The following is a 14,664-nucleotide window of genomic DNA, read 5'->3' on the forward strand; positions in this document are numbered from 1 at the left end:
ACTGAGCCTCAGTTTTGGCAACTGCAAAAGGAGATTAGTACCTACCTTACAAGACCATTGTGGGAGTTAAATCAAATTTTAAAAGTATCTCTTAGAGCTAAGACAGATATTCCACAAATTCTAACTGAATTGCAAGACAGCTAAGAATTGTTCCTGTTTCTGTGAAATGTAAATAGGGCTTCCTGGCTCTTGTTTGCTAGTGGCCTTTTCATGTTTTTATTACTGTGCCTGGAGATCACGTCCTCGTCTCAGGGCATACACACATGCAGCAGCCCTGTGAGGCCAGTGCTACTACTGTTCTCATTTACAGATGATGAAACTGAGACCCGGGGAGGCTAAGAAACTAAGATTGTGTGACTAGCAAGTAAAAGTGGCGGGGTTAGGATTTGAAATCAGGCACTGGCTCCACATGATTAGCCGCCCGGCTGTACTGCCTTTAGGGGGCAAGAAGTGGGAAGGAGGACAAAAGTCCTTCTAAGGGTCTCCTAAATCCACAACTCATACTCTAGGAAAATCTCCCAGGATCTGATTTAGGGCAGGCAGCCTCTGCCAGGGACTGCCTCACAGTTCCCCATTTATGGGCTCAGATATAAGGAAGTGTGGCTATTGCTGCTCTCAGGGAGGTCAGCAATCATCAAGGATGGGAACACAGACAATCTTTGGACTGTGTTGATGTTTCCTTTCAGCTACTTATTCTGAAGTCCCACACTATATTCTCCATTACTACAAAAAGCTAATTCTCAAATTTGAGTAGATGAACCCTGAATTAGGCCAGACTGGTCACCAATATATACTCAAGATCATATATATTATTATAAGATGTATTTATTTATTCTTGACAGTAACCAAAAGGATAACCTACTTATAATAAAAGTGCATATACATTAAAGTAAAAAAATTAAAACAACTATAATGAGATTAAAACTAAGTAGTAACAATTAAAAAAACAAAACAAAAAAAACCTTAGTTCGGAAATCCTAGGCTAAGAAAATGAAGCACCAACATAGCTTTAAGCTTCTGGGAAGCCAAAGCAAGAAATATCAAATGCATGGAGCCAAAGATATGCAATTTTCCTAGACATCATCAGTTCAAAAAGACTCTGGCATTACAGGCTAAAACAAATAACCTGGGAAGGTCTGGTCACATCCAGGAGAGTTAGATGAAGTGGAAGACCATGATCACGCTCCACCACAAACAGTCCCACTAGTTGGACGAGAGGTCTGACTCAGGATCATGCATGGGTTTACCCCACACATGAGGTCTGCAGTGCCAGGGCTGGACAGGAAGTCTGGAATGCCTAATCTTTTCTCTCAAGGACTCTGAACAGCTTCCCTGCCAATCTCTCTCATGATATTAGCACTGGTCAAGGGGCAGCAAGAGACTAGGCTGGGCTGACTTGGTACAGTGGTTGGCCTTGGGGGAGCCCAACTTCTAGTCTTTGAGCCACATGGAGGAGAACCTACGGTTCCAATGGTTCCACTGTTGGCTGATCTACCCAATGCAGTTTTGCAGAGGCTTTTAGTGCCCCATTCCTCTCCTCTGCCTCTCTCCATTCATGCTTTAGTTCAACCAATATTTATAGATCCCAAGCAGTCATGCATAAAAATTAGATTTTTATTTTGTCTTAACACTTTGTATTAAGTACTTACTGTGTATGAAGTACAATATGGTGCTCCTTGACTTTAGTGTCCTTCACCTTCTTCTAGCAAACAAATATGGCTTCCTGCCTCCTGACAATAGCCTTTCTTCAGATTCAGACCTCCAAAAATCTAAACCTGGCCCTCCGTTTATTTATTTTTATTGAGCCACTACAAAGTGTCATGCTTTGTGCAGGACTCTTGCCTTTAGGGTTTATTAATTCTAAAACCACTCTTTGAGCATCAGGTACTGCACCAGAACCGGGAGATACAATGGTGAGCAAAATGATACAGACCCTGGTCCCTACTCTCACCAAACTGGCATTAATCGAACAAACATGCCCAATAGAGATATAATGACAAGCGGAAATAAGTGATCTAAAGAATTACCAAAATACCTGACTTAGACTCAAGAAGCAGGTGAGGGGGCTCACTTAGAAGAGTCTTTTCTTTGTCTAACCTAAGAGGCAGGAATTATTTAAGCCAAGGAGAGCTGGAGGAAAAGCCAGAAAGAAGCTGGATAGCAGATCAGGTCATACGAAAAGTGTGTCCATTCTCCTAAGAACAATGGAAAGTGATGAGGAGGTTTTAAGGGAGGGGTAGGAAAGGTGTGAAAGATGCTCTCAAAATGATCTCCCTGGAAGCAGGGTGAAAGCAGTTTGCCAGCCATTGTGGTCATCTGGGTGACTTAAGGATAGGGTGGGTTAGGGAAGAGATGAAGGAAAAGGAAGTTTTCAGCTGGAGAAACTGGATGAATCACAATGCCATTCACTAAGACAAGGAAGTACAGAAGAGGACGGGCTTGGAGGCAAGTGGAAAGACCCACCATTGTTCCAGGTTCTGTGCTAAGGGCTATGAATACATCATTTTGGCTTTGCAACAAACATGCAAAGTAGGCATCACTTATTCCATTTTTCAGATTAAGAAACCAAAGCTGTGTTTATCAGCTTGATTATTCTAACCCAAACTTTGTGGGTCTGATTTTCCAGGGTGATCTAGAGCCCACTAGTCTCATAAGAGCTCTGAAGAAGAAAGACTTCCTTTCCCTGGAAACCAAAGTCCAAAGCCACAGGGCTCAGAAAGAAATGGATTTGGGACAACGCTAGAGATTTTGAGTACGCTAATTTGAGACCCCTAACAGGGTAGCCACGAATGACTGTGCAGGTTGTGTACTATACAAACTCAGAGGGCACTGTTCATATCACCGTCCATAGGAATGCTGCCTCCTGAATACATCAGCCCTCCCCAGTTTCCTTTCAAGAAGACTTCAAACTCCAGGACTCTCCCATAATCCCCAAGGTTCAAGAAAAATCAGTAACTAACGTTGCATCCCCTCTCTCTGGTCCCCTGATATTGTTTCCTCTTTTGCAGCCTTTATCCAGATCCAAGTATTCTTCCCTCATTCTTCTCACTGCTCAGGTAACATTCACGGAGGGGTAGGTTCCCTCTACCCCCTCCCTGGAGGAATAATGCCTCCATCACCAAGCCATTGCTTACAGGAGCTCCCCAGACCAGTTTACCAAACTCAAAATTATGTTAATATCTGCCCAAATAAATGTTACACAGAAACAAACTGGTTATACCAAAGCCATCAGCTGTTTACTTAGTTGACAAAATAGTCCCCATATCACTGCCTAAAGGGTGACCTTGCTCACCTGATCCCATGTCCTCCAAGACCCAAGGTGCTGTCTGAATCACAGGGAGCACCTCTCTTCCTTTGCGACAGACTGATCCACTTGAAGATCTGTTTACACTAAAAAAGTATGGCTCTTCTCCAAAGGTCCCAGGACTGGGACAATCCGCAGCTGTTCATCTGAATGATCTGGCAGTGAGAAATGAAGCTAACTCCAGGACCAAAAAAATCAAGGGTTCATTCCTCATCAGCCCCTAAGCAAGGGGTATCACATTCACGGGAAGTGCTTTGGATTCCTGAGTTTCCTGCTCATAAATGCTCTGGCAAGAGGCATGGTCTCAAGAGCACCTGCCCTGGTTTGCAATGGGGCAGGAGCTGATCCCATGGTCTCTGATCAGAATAAGCTCAGCTCCTGAAATGAAACAGCTCTGCCAGCTTCTTCATCATTACTAGTCCTTACCACAGCAGCCCTTTAAAAGGTATGAAGCATTCACTTTAAATATCCTTTTTATTGATACGCGGAACTTTCTTCCCATGCAAGAGGAAATCAGGAAGAATATATGCCTTCAATTTCCAATCAAGTTGATTATTCTGCAGACATGCTGCCGTCTTTCTTTCTTTTTAAAACCCCATCTCCTGTAATCACTCTAATGCAGTTGTTCATTTAGAGTTTTGAATGTACTTTCTTGTCCCTATGGCACATATCACAGAGTATGAGCTGACATTCAAGTCACCTAGAATTTTTCTTCTGTAGAAGTCCACATATCAACTAATACCTACTGCAGAAATGAGCCCTTCTTCCACAGCTGTCACTGCTGAAGTAGCAGATGCATCCCCTGGACTGCAGTAGTGACTGTCCACCTTCTTGTTGAAAACAGCATTCCTGGGACACTGATGTGCCCTGTATCTTGCTGGTGACAGCTGACAACATCCCCACCCCCGCCACCCAAGGCTGGCTCCTGACCTACATCATAGGGCATGAGGGCTGCGGTGATCTCCACCCATTAACAGCTGCTTGAGTTGCATCACCTGGGGGGGTCTGGGCAGTGAGGGAGGCTCAGCAGCAGAGGCCCAGTGTGGGGAGCCTGGCTTCCTGCCAGCCAGAGCCTCAGAACTCTCTACCCATCCCCAGATGATTCCTCATGTACTTCATTTTTTCCCCCCAAACTTCATGGGAACATGGACCATTTACTGCCATGAGACTGTCCTTGTCCTGAATACTTTCCTGAGCTGACCACTATGAAGTTGAGGGTCATTTCCCAAATCACAGCATAGAGCAGGGAGCCCTCATTCCCTACACTCCTTCAACTTCTCTTACCATAGAAATGATGTAACTAAGAACAGAAAGCATGGCTAAAACTTAAGGACTGATCTGGAATATAGGATTTGATTTCTGCAACTCTGAATGGGCAGGAGAAAAAAGAAAATACGTTTGCACTCTCTCTAGTTTTGGTAGTAAGTATCCAGACCAAAAATATGGCTGGGTTCTCACATCAAGGAAGTGATTTCAACTAGGAAGCGCCACTCTTTGATTACGATCTCAAGCTTGCGGGGCTTGCTCTCAGATTGCTTATCCTACTGTTATTATTGCTTTAACAATCCTCGTGTCAATTCCATATGTGTCATTCCTTGTTTGTCTAGAAGGGAGCATTTCTGGAGACTGCTTGGAAGAAGTAACTACCTCCCTAGCCGTGCCCCACCTCCAACCAAGTTTTTCACAAATATGCTCCAGCCCCCAGCCTGTCCTAACCAGGCAGAAGTCAGGCCCACATGAGAAGCATTTGAGCCCCAGGAGGAGGGATGCCTCTGAGGCCACACCTGGAGTTTACTTTTGCCATTTCTGATAAATACTGAGTATTCTCAGGAGGGAGGGAAAGGTATTAGAAAGGGAGATTTAGGGAAAAGGAGGATGGGATTATGTCAGTGAATCTGCCTCAATTTAAAGAGTAGTAGGGCCAGACTGGGATTAAAAATAGAATTGAGAGTGATCTCCTAACTTATTGGAAATCAGCTCCAAACTACCTGATAAAAATTCAAAATATCCTTTTCTTTCAAAGACTTCTGTTCAACCTAGGGGCCTGGCCTAGAATAGCAGAGTTTCCTCTCTCCTTACAATGACAGATGAATAATAAATGTTCCCAGTCAGAAAAAAAGACACACAATTTTTCCAACATTTTGATTATTGGAGATTATATCTATGGCTAATAGCAATTCCATTTTGCAATTTAAAGTTCTTTTTGCCTATTGGAATTAGCTAGCCCCAATGATGATGAGGTTATGTTAGGACTTTGGAGGAGTCATTAACTATTTCAAACCATTAAAAAATATATATAATGCCCACAGAATAACAAAGCAATTAAGCCAAATAGGAAAAAAAAAAACCAAACTAGTAATTAGGCTTTTTTGTTTGTTTGTTTAGGTATCATATAGCTAAACTTCTAAAGAAAAACATTTAAAACATAGCTCCTACATTCTAATTCTGGTCTAATAAGGCTTAAGTAAAAATCAGCATGGTAAATTTCTTCACCTTAAAATGTTTTCCAAAGGATTGGCTGAATTTTTAAAAATCTTACTATTTTATTTTATTTTATTTTATTTTTGAGACTGAGTCTCGCTCTGTTGCCCAGGCTGGAGTGCAGTGGCACAATCTCGACTCACTGCAACCTCCGCCTCCGAGGTTCAAGTGATTCTCCTGCCTCTGCCCCCCTAGTAGCTGGGATTACAGGCACACGCCACCATGCCTGGCTAACTTTTGTACTTTTAGTAGAGATGAGGTTTCACCATGTTGGCCAGGCTGGTTTCGAACTCCTGACCTCAGGTGATCCACCCGCCTCAGCCTCCCAAAGTGCTGGGATTACAGGCGTGAGCCACCACACCCGGCCAAATCTTACCTTTTTATTATAAATAAATTTCCCACAAGTGAATGACATTGACTTAATTCTTTTTCTCCAAGAAAAAGGTTATCTACCCTCTAAAGGAGAATGTTATCTACTACTATATTTGAGTGTCATACATTAAGTAAAAATCTTATTACCTAGAAAATGTAACTTCTCAGGAAAATATGACACTAAAAGTGACCAACACACCTTTGCTGTGGCTGGATGTGAAAGGTTAATCATGATTTCTAGAAGAAGCTTATTCCAAGAAACGATAAAATTAGCAGTAATTGTTCTGGCTAAGACATGAAACTGGTAACAATATTTCAAACAACCGCTTCTCTTTCCTGTCCTTTTTTTTTTAATGATGTAGAGCAATTGCTCGTCTAATGAAGGGTAAATAAATTACAGATTACTTTCAACTCATTACTCGGAAATAGGGAAACTTCCATTCCAGCAACTGCTCCTCAGAATTGAGACAAACCTCTTGCTCATATCAGACCCCACAGTCTAAATGTTTATTGTGAAAATATTGATAAATAAATGTTATGGGAGTGAAAAACAGATACAGCCCAGAACTCTGTGTTTGTCATTGATTACCATTTTCATACACACACACGCACAGTTGCCAAAATTGTCTTTCATTTTTGAACATTTCTCCTTCATTACTAGGTAAAGAACAGAACATGTACTTATACTATCAGAAATGCCAAATACTTACTTGAGTTTCTGAAATTAGTATTTTCATCCATGTGCTCTAGTAAAACTATAAAAGGGTCAATAAACACAGAGATGATCACAAACTTCCTCAACTCGGAAATCTCCACAAACGTTCAACTCTCTGGGAGGTTTCAGGTAGAAAGTTTTATATAAGCACTTATCAACTTTAATGGTCTTTTACAAGATAGTTACAGTTAGACCATTGTAAGGATCACACTTCCGTCTGCACTCTGAATGGTGGTTCAGGCATCTTTGGGCCCTCCCTTCCTGCACTCCCTTTGTTGTGCGAGGGTAAATGAGTTACAGTAATAACCCTGCAAATATCCTGCCTTGTGATTAAAACATTACCTTAATGCAGACTTTACATTTTGGCTTCTATGAAGGCTTAAAGGTTAAAGGCATCATAAATTATGCATTTCTTTCTATGCCAGGCCTGTAAAAGGTGCTTTTACAGTTCTTTAAAGATATTGCTTCTAAATGAGTACAGGCTTTTCTTTTTTTTTCTGCCAAAACAGAAACATTTCCATTATGTTTATTACTGCTGTGCTGGAGAGCCAAAACAGTTTGGAATTAAGAAACTGCTAGAGTCTGTTGTTTCAGAATGTGTAGCAACTGTTAACATACACAGTGGAGTTGCCCATTCACTGTTTGGACAGTGATATGGTAAACATGGGCTAACACACAGGTCTGCTCCCGGGAGAACGATGATCTGGTAAACTCCAGAACACCAACAGTTAGAGCTTTCCCCTTCTGCCTCCGCCCCAATTTACAGATGTGAACAGGAATTAGCGAGACACAAGACACACTAGAATATCCCTAACTCCTGCAGTGGAGCAAGCTCTATTCTGTGGATTCTCCAGTACCACACATGTCCTTGCTACCCAGCACCCTGACTTCCTCACTTTTGTCACCTCCAGCTGAAGTACAGTTCTAAGGGTCTCTTTTTTTCCTTTTACACTTACACGTAATGCATCTGCAGAAGGCTGGGCTCTTTATCTCAAGGAAGACCACACCCATTTATCCCTTAGCTTTCAGGAGCAAACTGCTGATTTAGGGACCGAAGCTGGACTGAAGCGACCCAACTTCAGCCAGGCCACAACCTCCTTCAGCTCTGCACCTCGTCTGGTTGCGGTGGAGGATTCTGGAGACAGATTGCCAGCTTTAAGAGCCAGAGTTCCTGAGATTTCTTCCAGGAGACAACCCGCACACCCTGATAACTCCGTGGCAAAGTTGTTTCTTCCTCCTCTGCTGCAACACCTTTTCCTCTCCACCTTTCCATTAGCATACGCGCGCGCGCACACACACAGCTTTGCTCACTCAACTTACCAGTTTAGATTTGGCGCGTTGCAAAAATTCTTCCATGTCGTGGCTAGGGGTTTGGAACCCGGGTACTCGGAGGGGCGCAGTGGAAAATCTCGGCCCAAGGAAGACGAGCGGGGTCCCGGGAAAGTGGCCCGCCGGGGCGCAGCGACCGACTGCTCCCTCCTGCCGCTCTGAGGCGGCTGCGGCGGAGGCTGTGCTTGCGCCCTCGACCGTCTCGCCCAGGGCTCCCCGCCCCACCCCTCGCCCGGCCGCCGGCTCTGGGCACCCGACTCTGCCCTAATAAGGAAAGTGGGTGTGCCGCCCAGGAGCCCCGGGGCGCGCCGGGCACGCTCTCTGGCACGCGCCTCGGGCGCCGTGGCGCGTGGGCGGAGGTGCAGGGGTATGGCGAGGGGCTCCTCCGCCAATCGCAGGGCCGTGCTGCGGCCTCCTGACGTGGCGCGCCGAAAGCTGCTGCAACCATGGACAGCGCCCAGAAGTGCGAGCCAAGTGCAAGGGGCTGCTGCAGAGGGAGGCTCTGCCGCAGGCACCGCCGCGGTCAGCGGGGGAAGGTGGGAAGAGGGAGACGGGTCCCAGGAGAGCCCCCGCCTCGCCCAGCGCCTCACTGGCTGGCTGGCGCGTTACGGAGCACTCCGGCGGTCACTTAATGATCTGGTCGGCTGGCCTGGCCGGGGGAGGCACTCAGCTAGATTGGCGTGGGAGGGACGAGGAGAGAAAGAGGGGAGTTACTGCTGAGCTAAAAGCAGTACGACCTTGATGGATAATAATCAGAAGAGCAGGCTAGGAGGTTGGGCGAGGCTGCGTCTTTCCTCCCTACCATGAAAACATGTCCACACAACAATGGGCATCCACAGTTCACCCCAACTAGGTGCCCTTATGTCAGCCCTGGGACTAATGCATAGATACATCCTTCTGCAGTTCCCATCCACTGACATGTACCCTCAGGGAAAGCTGGGGCAATAGAACCTTGCTAAGGTGAGGTGCAGTCTGCAGACCGGCAACATCAGCATCGCTGATCTTATAGAAATGCAGAACCTCAGTCCCCTGCTCCTACTTACCAAATCAGAATCTGTGTGTTTCTATGAGACCCTCAGATGATTTCTATGCTTGTTAAAGTTTAAGAAGTACTACAATGAACAAATGAACTTATATCTACAAACCTTATTTTAAATCATGGGGTTTTGTTGTATGTAGCCTTGTCCGGTCCCCAAACACACTACATCAGGCTTTCTCTGACCTCTGGGCTTTTGCACACCACCTGTAAGATCCTTCCAGCCCTTGTCCTAGCCCCCAGCCTCAGCTGTTCTACAGAAGTAGCCTCAACCCTGACTGCACAGTAAAATCACATCGTAATCACCTGAGACTTGAGAAAGTACTGATACCAGGGCTTTATCCCAGTCCAATTAAATTAATATCTCTGGGCATGGGGCCACAGCATTTCTGTGGAAAGTGACCCAAGTGATTCTAATGTGCAGTTCAGGTGTGATGCTCTGATTCTCGATGAACTTTACATGTATCTAAATCACTTAGAGGGCTTGATGAAACACAGATTTCCGTGCCCCATCCTTAGAATTTTAGCCCTAATAGGTGTGGCTTAATGGGCCTGAGAATGTCCATGTATACAATCTCCCAGGGTTTGCCGATGCTGCTGATCCAAAAACCACACTTTGACAGTGAGTGGCGTAGAAGTTCTCTTTCTCCAGAAAGCCTCCCCAACACACTTTTCCCTTCCCATCCCCAGACTGAGTTGGTTGCCCCTTCTGTATTCCCTCATAGCAACTTACATTTTCCACTCTGCTATAAATTGCATAATTATTTGTCTATGTCCTCCACCAGGCTGTGAGCTCTGTAAAGACAGGGACCTTGCCTGTCTCATTCACTGATGGAACCCTAACATGATGTATGTTCATGTCATATACAGGTCCTCAATAAATATGTTTTAATGAAAAAAGGTACATATGGAAGGGTTTTTTTTTTTTTTGCTCTATTTCTCCTGTCTCAATGTGTGTCTGTTTTCTTGTCTGTCTCTGTGTGTATATGTGTGTCTCATGATCCAATTATTTTTTATTCAGAAGGATCCAATGAAAACAAATCAGCAGGGTCCACAGATCTGATTAAAGGAGAGTGATAAGAATATTAAGCTCCAGGTGACATTCAGGGGTGGGCTTTGTGGAAGCTGGAGATTCTGTCTGCTTTCTGTACTGACTTAAGTAATTTAAAACCAACCAGGTAAAGCAAGTATTTTGTCAGCCTTTAAATCTGTGAAGTTGCACACAATTCAAGTAACATTACTGAGAAAAATTCTAGAGAATGCCTTGCCTCTGACTTCACTGGGGAATTTAGCACCAATTACATAATACTGTTTTATTCCTCTAGCTTTGGCTTATAAATATTCTAGGTAGGTATCACACATCCTTGAAATGTTAAAAAAAAATTCTGATGGACTCAAATTCCAACATCAATCTCCCCATCTTTTTCTCCACCAATAATGTCCCTTCAAAAGTTTATCAAAATTAACATTTTCTATGAAACCTTCCTAAGCTGACCACCTATATTAGCTTCCTGGGGCTGTTTTAACAGAATCTCACAAATTCAGTGGCTTGAAACAACATAAATGTATTACCTTACAGTTATGTAGGTCAAAAGTCCTACACAGGTCTCATTGGGCAAGCAAGGTATCAACAGAGCTACATTCTTTTTTAGAGGCTCTAGGGGACAATCGACTAGAAGCTGCCCATGTTTTTTGACTTGTGGCATCTTCCTCCATCTGTTTTTTTCTTTCTTTCTTTCTTTCTTTTTTTTCGAGATGGAGTTTCCCTCTAGTACCCCAGGCTGGAGTGGAATGGCACAACCTGGGTTCACTGCAACCCCTGCCTCCCGGGTTCAAGCTATTCTCCTGCCTCAGCCTCTCGAGTAGCTGGGATTACAGATGCGCACCACCATGCCCAGCTAATTTTTGTATTTTTAGTAGAGACAGGTTTCACCATGTTGGCCAGGCTGGTCTGGAACTCCAGACCTCAAGTGATCTGCCCGCCTCGGCCTCTCAAAGTGCTAGGATTACAGGCATGAGCTGCCGCGCCCAGACTTACTCCATCTTCAAAGCCAGCAACATTTCATTTCTCTGACTGTTCTTCTAACCTCCTTTTCCACTTTTTAGGGGCCCTTGTGTTTACATTGGGCCTATTTGGTTAATCCAGGATAATCTCCCCCATTTCAAGGTCAGTTCATTAGCAACCTTAATTTCATCTGAAAACTTAATTCCCTTTGCCATGTAACCTAACATACTCATAGGTTCTAAGGATTAGGTTGTAGACATCTTTGGGAGGTCATTTTTCTGCATACACCACAAACCATACATGATGTTATTTGGTAGCTATCGGCATTTGATCCTCCAATTTTTATGATTCCATAGCAGCCAGAAATCTAGTGACTTTAACTCTAGGTAAGATATTGTCAACCCTGGCTGCACAGTGGAATCACCTGGGAGCCTCCAAAAAAACAAACTAATGTTCCAAGCTCCATCTCTGGAACATTAAAACAGAACAATTCAGAACAGAAATTCTGAATTGAGCGATCTTGAGAGGGGCCCAGGCATCAATATTTTTTCAAAGCTCTCCAGGTAATTCTCCGTGTAGTCAGGGTTGGGAACTACTGCTGATGTTAGATGAATTCGCATTCCTCAGTCACTCAGGTACAAAACCTGGAGTTCCCTTTGATTTACTACACTCTGCCACCCACTGTGGCCAAATAGTCCCCAGTCCAAAGTGTTCAAACTTTAAAAAAGCCTCCTTCAACTTCCTTTCTTTCTATTCCAAGCACTACGATCGTAATTTATGTATTTGTATCTGAACCTCATTTCACCCTCTTCTCTCTAGAGTCCCTTGTCCTTGTTGGCAGAACAATCCCATTTCCTCTACTCTTTGCTTTACTCTCTCTCAGATTTCTTGATTCCTGGACTCCCCTCATTTGAGACCTGTATCCGAACTCTCTTTATTTTTGAAATCATTATCTTGAGTAGATTAGTAAAGTGGTTATTATGGATTAAATGCCTGTGTCCCCCCAAAATTCCTGTGTTGACACCTTAACCCCCAATGTGCTGGTATCAGGAGGTGGGCCTTTGGGTGTCATTAAGTTTAGATGAGGTGGTGAGGGTGGAGCGCTCATGATGGGATTAGTGTCTCTCTCTCTCCCTCCCCCCACCTCTTCCTTCCCACCATGTGAGGACACAGGAGAAACATGGCCATCTGCAAGGCAGGGAAGTGTCCTCATCAGGAACCAAATTGGCCAGCACCTGGATCTTGGACTTCCCAGCCTCTAGAACTGTGAGAAATAAATGTCTGTTGTTTAAGCTGCTCAATTTAAAATATTTTGTTATAGCAGCCTGAGCGGACTAACACAATGGTAGTGCTAGGGGAAAAAAAAAGAAAGAGACTTAAGGGATCCTCTGATGATGCCATCTCCTCATATTACTGAGATGGGACCAAGGCCTGGAGTAGTTCAGCATCCTGCTCAGACTAACAGAGCTACTTTGAAGCAGAGGCCAGGACTGGAACTCAGCTCTCTTTCATTCCTTCCTTGAGCATTTATGAAGCATAGACTATGCTCTTATAGGATTTTGTTTACCCTAAGATGCATAAGACATGATCCCTGCCCTCAAGGAGCTCACAGGCTAGTCACTACCAAATAGATAAATGCAGTGATTGAGAAATGCATCTGGTGTGATACTAGTTGAGATGCAATATGTTGTGGTAACTAAGACCCGTATGCTCATCTTTGCTCTGTGTGGTAGATTAATCATGGCTGAAAATTCCTTGATACTTCTCCCAGTGAGAGGCAGGGTCTATGTTACTTCTTGAATCTAGGAGAACTCTGACTTCCCAAGCAATAAAATATTACAGAAATGACATCATGCCAGTTTCTGGGACCAAGTTCTTAAGTGATTGGTAGCCTCGACCTCTTGTCTTTTGGAATACATGCTCTTGGAACCTATCCATCATGCTATGAGGAAGCCCAAGCAGCCATATAGAGAGGTTCACACAGAGAGGAGCTATGAACTCTGGGTAACAGCCCAGCTGCCAGCCGCGTGGTGAGCCATCTTGGAAATAGATTCTCCAGCCCAGTCAAGCCAGCTGATGCCACATGGAACAGAGCTAAGCTGTGTCTGCTAAGCCCTGCCCAAATTCCTGGCCCATTAAACTGTGGGATATAATAAAATGATTGCTATTATAAGCCATTAACTTTCTGGGATTTGTTCTGCAGCAATAGATAGGCAGAGCATCTGGCCAGTTACCAGCTCAGAAAGTTAGGGCAAGTTATCCTTTCTAAGCTTCAAGGTCTTCATCTATAAAATAGATGAATAGATAATACTCCCTCTTAGGACTGTCATGAAGCCCAAATGCAACAATATATGCAAAGTGCCCAATTCTTGGCCAGTTGCTGCCGTTATTCTGATTCCCAAGAGTCTGTTAAGGAGAGGAGAAACTTCATGCAATAGCTGTAAGTGGAAGAAAGAAAATCCATGAAGAGAACCCAACAAGAGGAAAATCTCCAGGTCAATTGTGGATGGAACAGCAGTCACTAAAAATGTGACATGATTTAATTATAACTTGTGTCTATTCTACACCAAGTAATATCTCCCAAGGTTATATTCCTTTGCAACCTGGGCTTCATATGATAAGAGGCCTGTTTCAGAGAAAGGCACTGCAGATGTTTCTCAGCAATAACACATCTACCTGTACTACTCACTAGTGAAATATAACTTGCTTAGGGGTTGTATCCCCAAATTACCATTCCTTACCCCCATGGGGCACTAGATCTTTCCTCTGTAGACTCTCACAGGAGCACTGTAGCTCTTCATCCATCTCATGGCACACCTATTACTGTCAGTGCCACCACAGGGGTATCTGAAGATTTCCTTATCTTAACCAGCTTCCCTGGTGCTCACAGCATGGTATCAGAAAATCTGGATATGAGACCTTGCTGTGTACTTTTGGGCAAGTTATTTATTATTAATCTCCTTATCTATGAAATAGAAGATAAATACCTGCCCTAGTTACTTTACATGATTGTCATTAAAGAATCAAATGCTAACATCCCTACAAATACTGGGAAATGTTAACAAGGGAAAACAGAATACTGAAGAAATCAGCTTGGTTGGCAAAAAAAAAAAAAAAAAAATACCTGACATATGCTATCCTTTTAAAAATGAAATGTAGCTGGGATGGCAGCTGCTGATTCACTATTTGGGCACATTTCCAAGCTAGCTTCCTCACTGACCAACAACACCTCTCACAGGTAGATTCTCCTTGGTGCAGATGGGTTATGTTCGCTGCTTTTAAATTGTTTCATGTGACACAAGAGGTTCAAGAAACTGCATCTCACACTTGAACTAAATTTAAAAGCATTTTAAGCTTATTTCAAGGACAAGAGATAGAAACAGGACTAATGTGCATTAACTAGGGCCTCTCATTTAGCCTGT

General features: G+C 43.8%; 1 protein-coding gene across 34 annotated transcripts in view, besides 2 other annotated features; it reads right to left on the minus strand.

Annotated features, from left to right (window-relative positions):
- Nucleotides 1-8,379, minus strand: part of PRUNE2 (prune homolog 2 with BCH domain) — a 294,739-nt gene extending 286,360 nt beyond the window's left edge. For all 34 annotated transcript variants that reach the window (NR_131751.2, XM_047422884.1, XM_017014349.2 and 31 more), the window contains exon 1: nucleotides 8,193-8,379. Coding sequence is in view for 32 of the 34 variants with exons in the window: in XM_047422884.1 (XP_047278840.1) it covers nucleotides 8,193-8,228 (36 nt within the window). In the remaining 2 variants the exon portion in view is untranslated. The remainder of the gene's footprint in view (nucleotides 1-8,192) is intronic.
- Nucleotides 316-815: an enhancer, noted in NCBI's record as "H3K27ac hESC enhancer chr9:79512967-79513466 (GRCh37/hg19 assembly coordinates)". NCBI's record gives its function as "activates a minimal SCP1, AML or CMV promoter by ChIP-STARR-seq in primed H9 embryonic stem cells {active_cell/tissue: H9 hESC(primed)}" and the evidence as "EXISTENCE:reporter gene assay evidence [ECO:0000049][PMID:30033119]".
- Nucleotides 8,449-8,508: a silencer, noted in NCBI's record as "silent region_19964". NCBI's record gives its function as "represses an Ori minimal core promoter by ATAC-STARR-seq in GM12878 lymphoblastoid cells {active_cell/tissue: GM12878}" and the evidence as "EXISTENCE:reporter gene assay evidence [ECO:0000049][PMID:35858748]".

This window comes from Homo sapiens, chromosome 9 (assembly GCF_000001405.40).
Source record: "Homo sapiens chromosome 9, GRCh38.p14 Primary Assembly".
Taxonomy (NCBI): domain Eukaryota; kingdom Metazoa; phylum Chordata; class Mammalia; order Primates; family Hominidae; genus Homo; species Homo sapiens.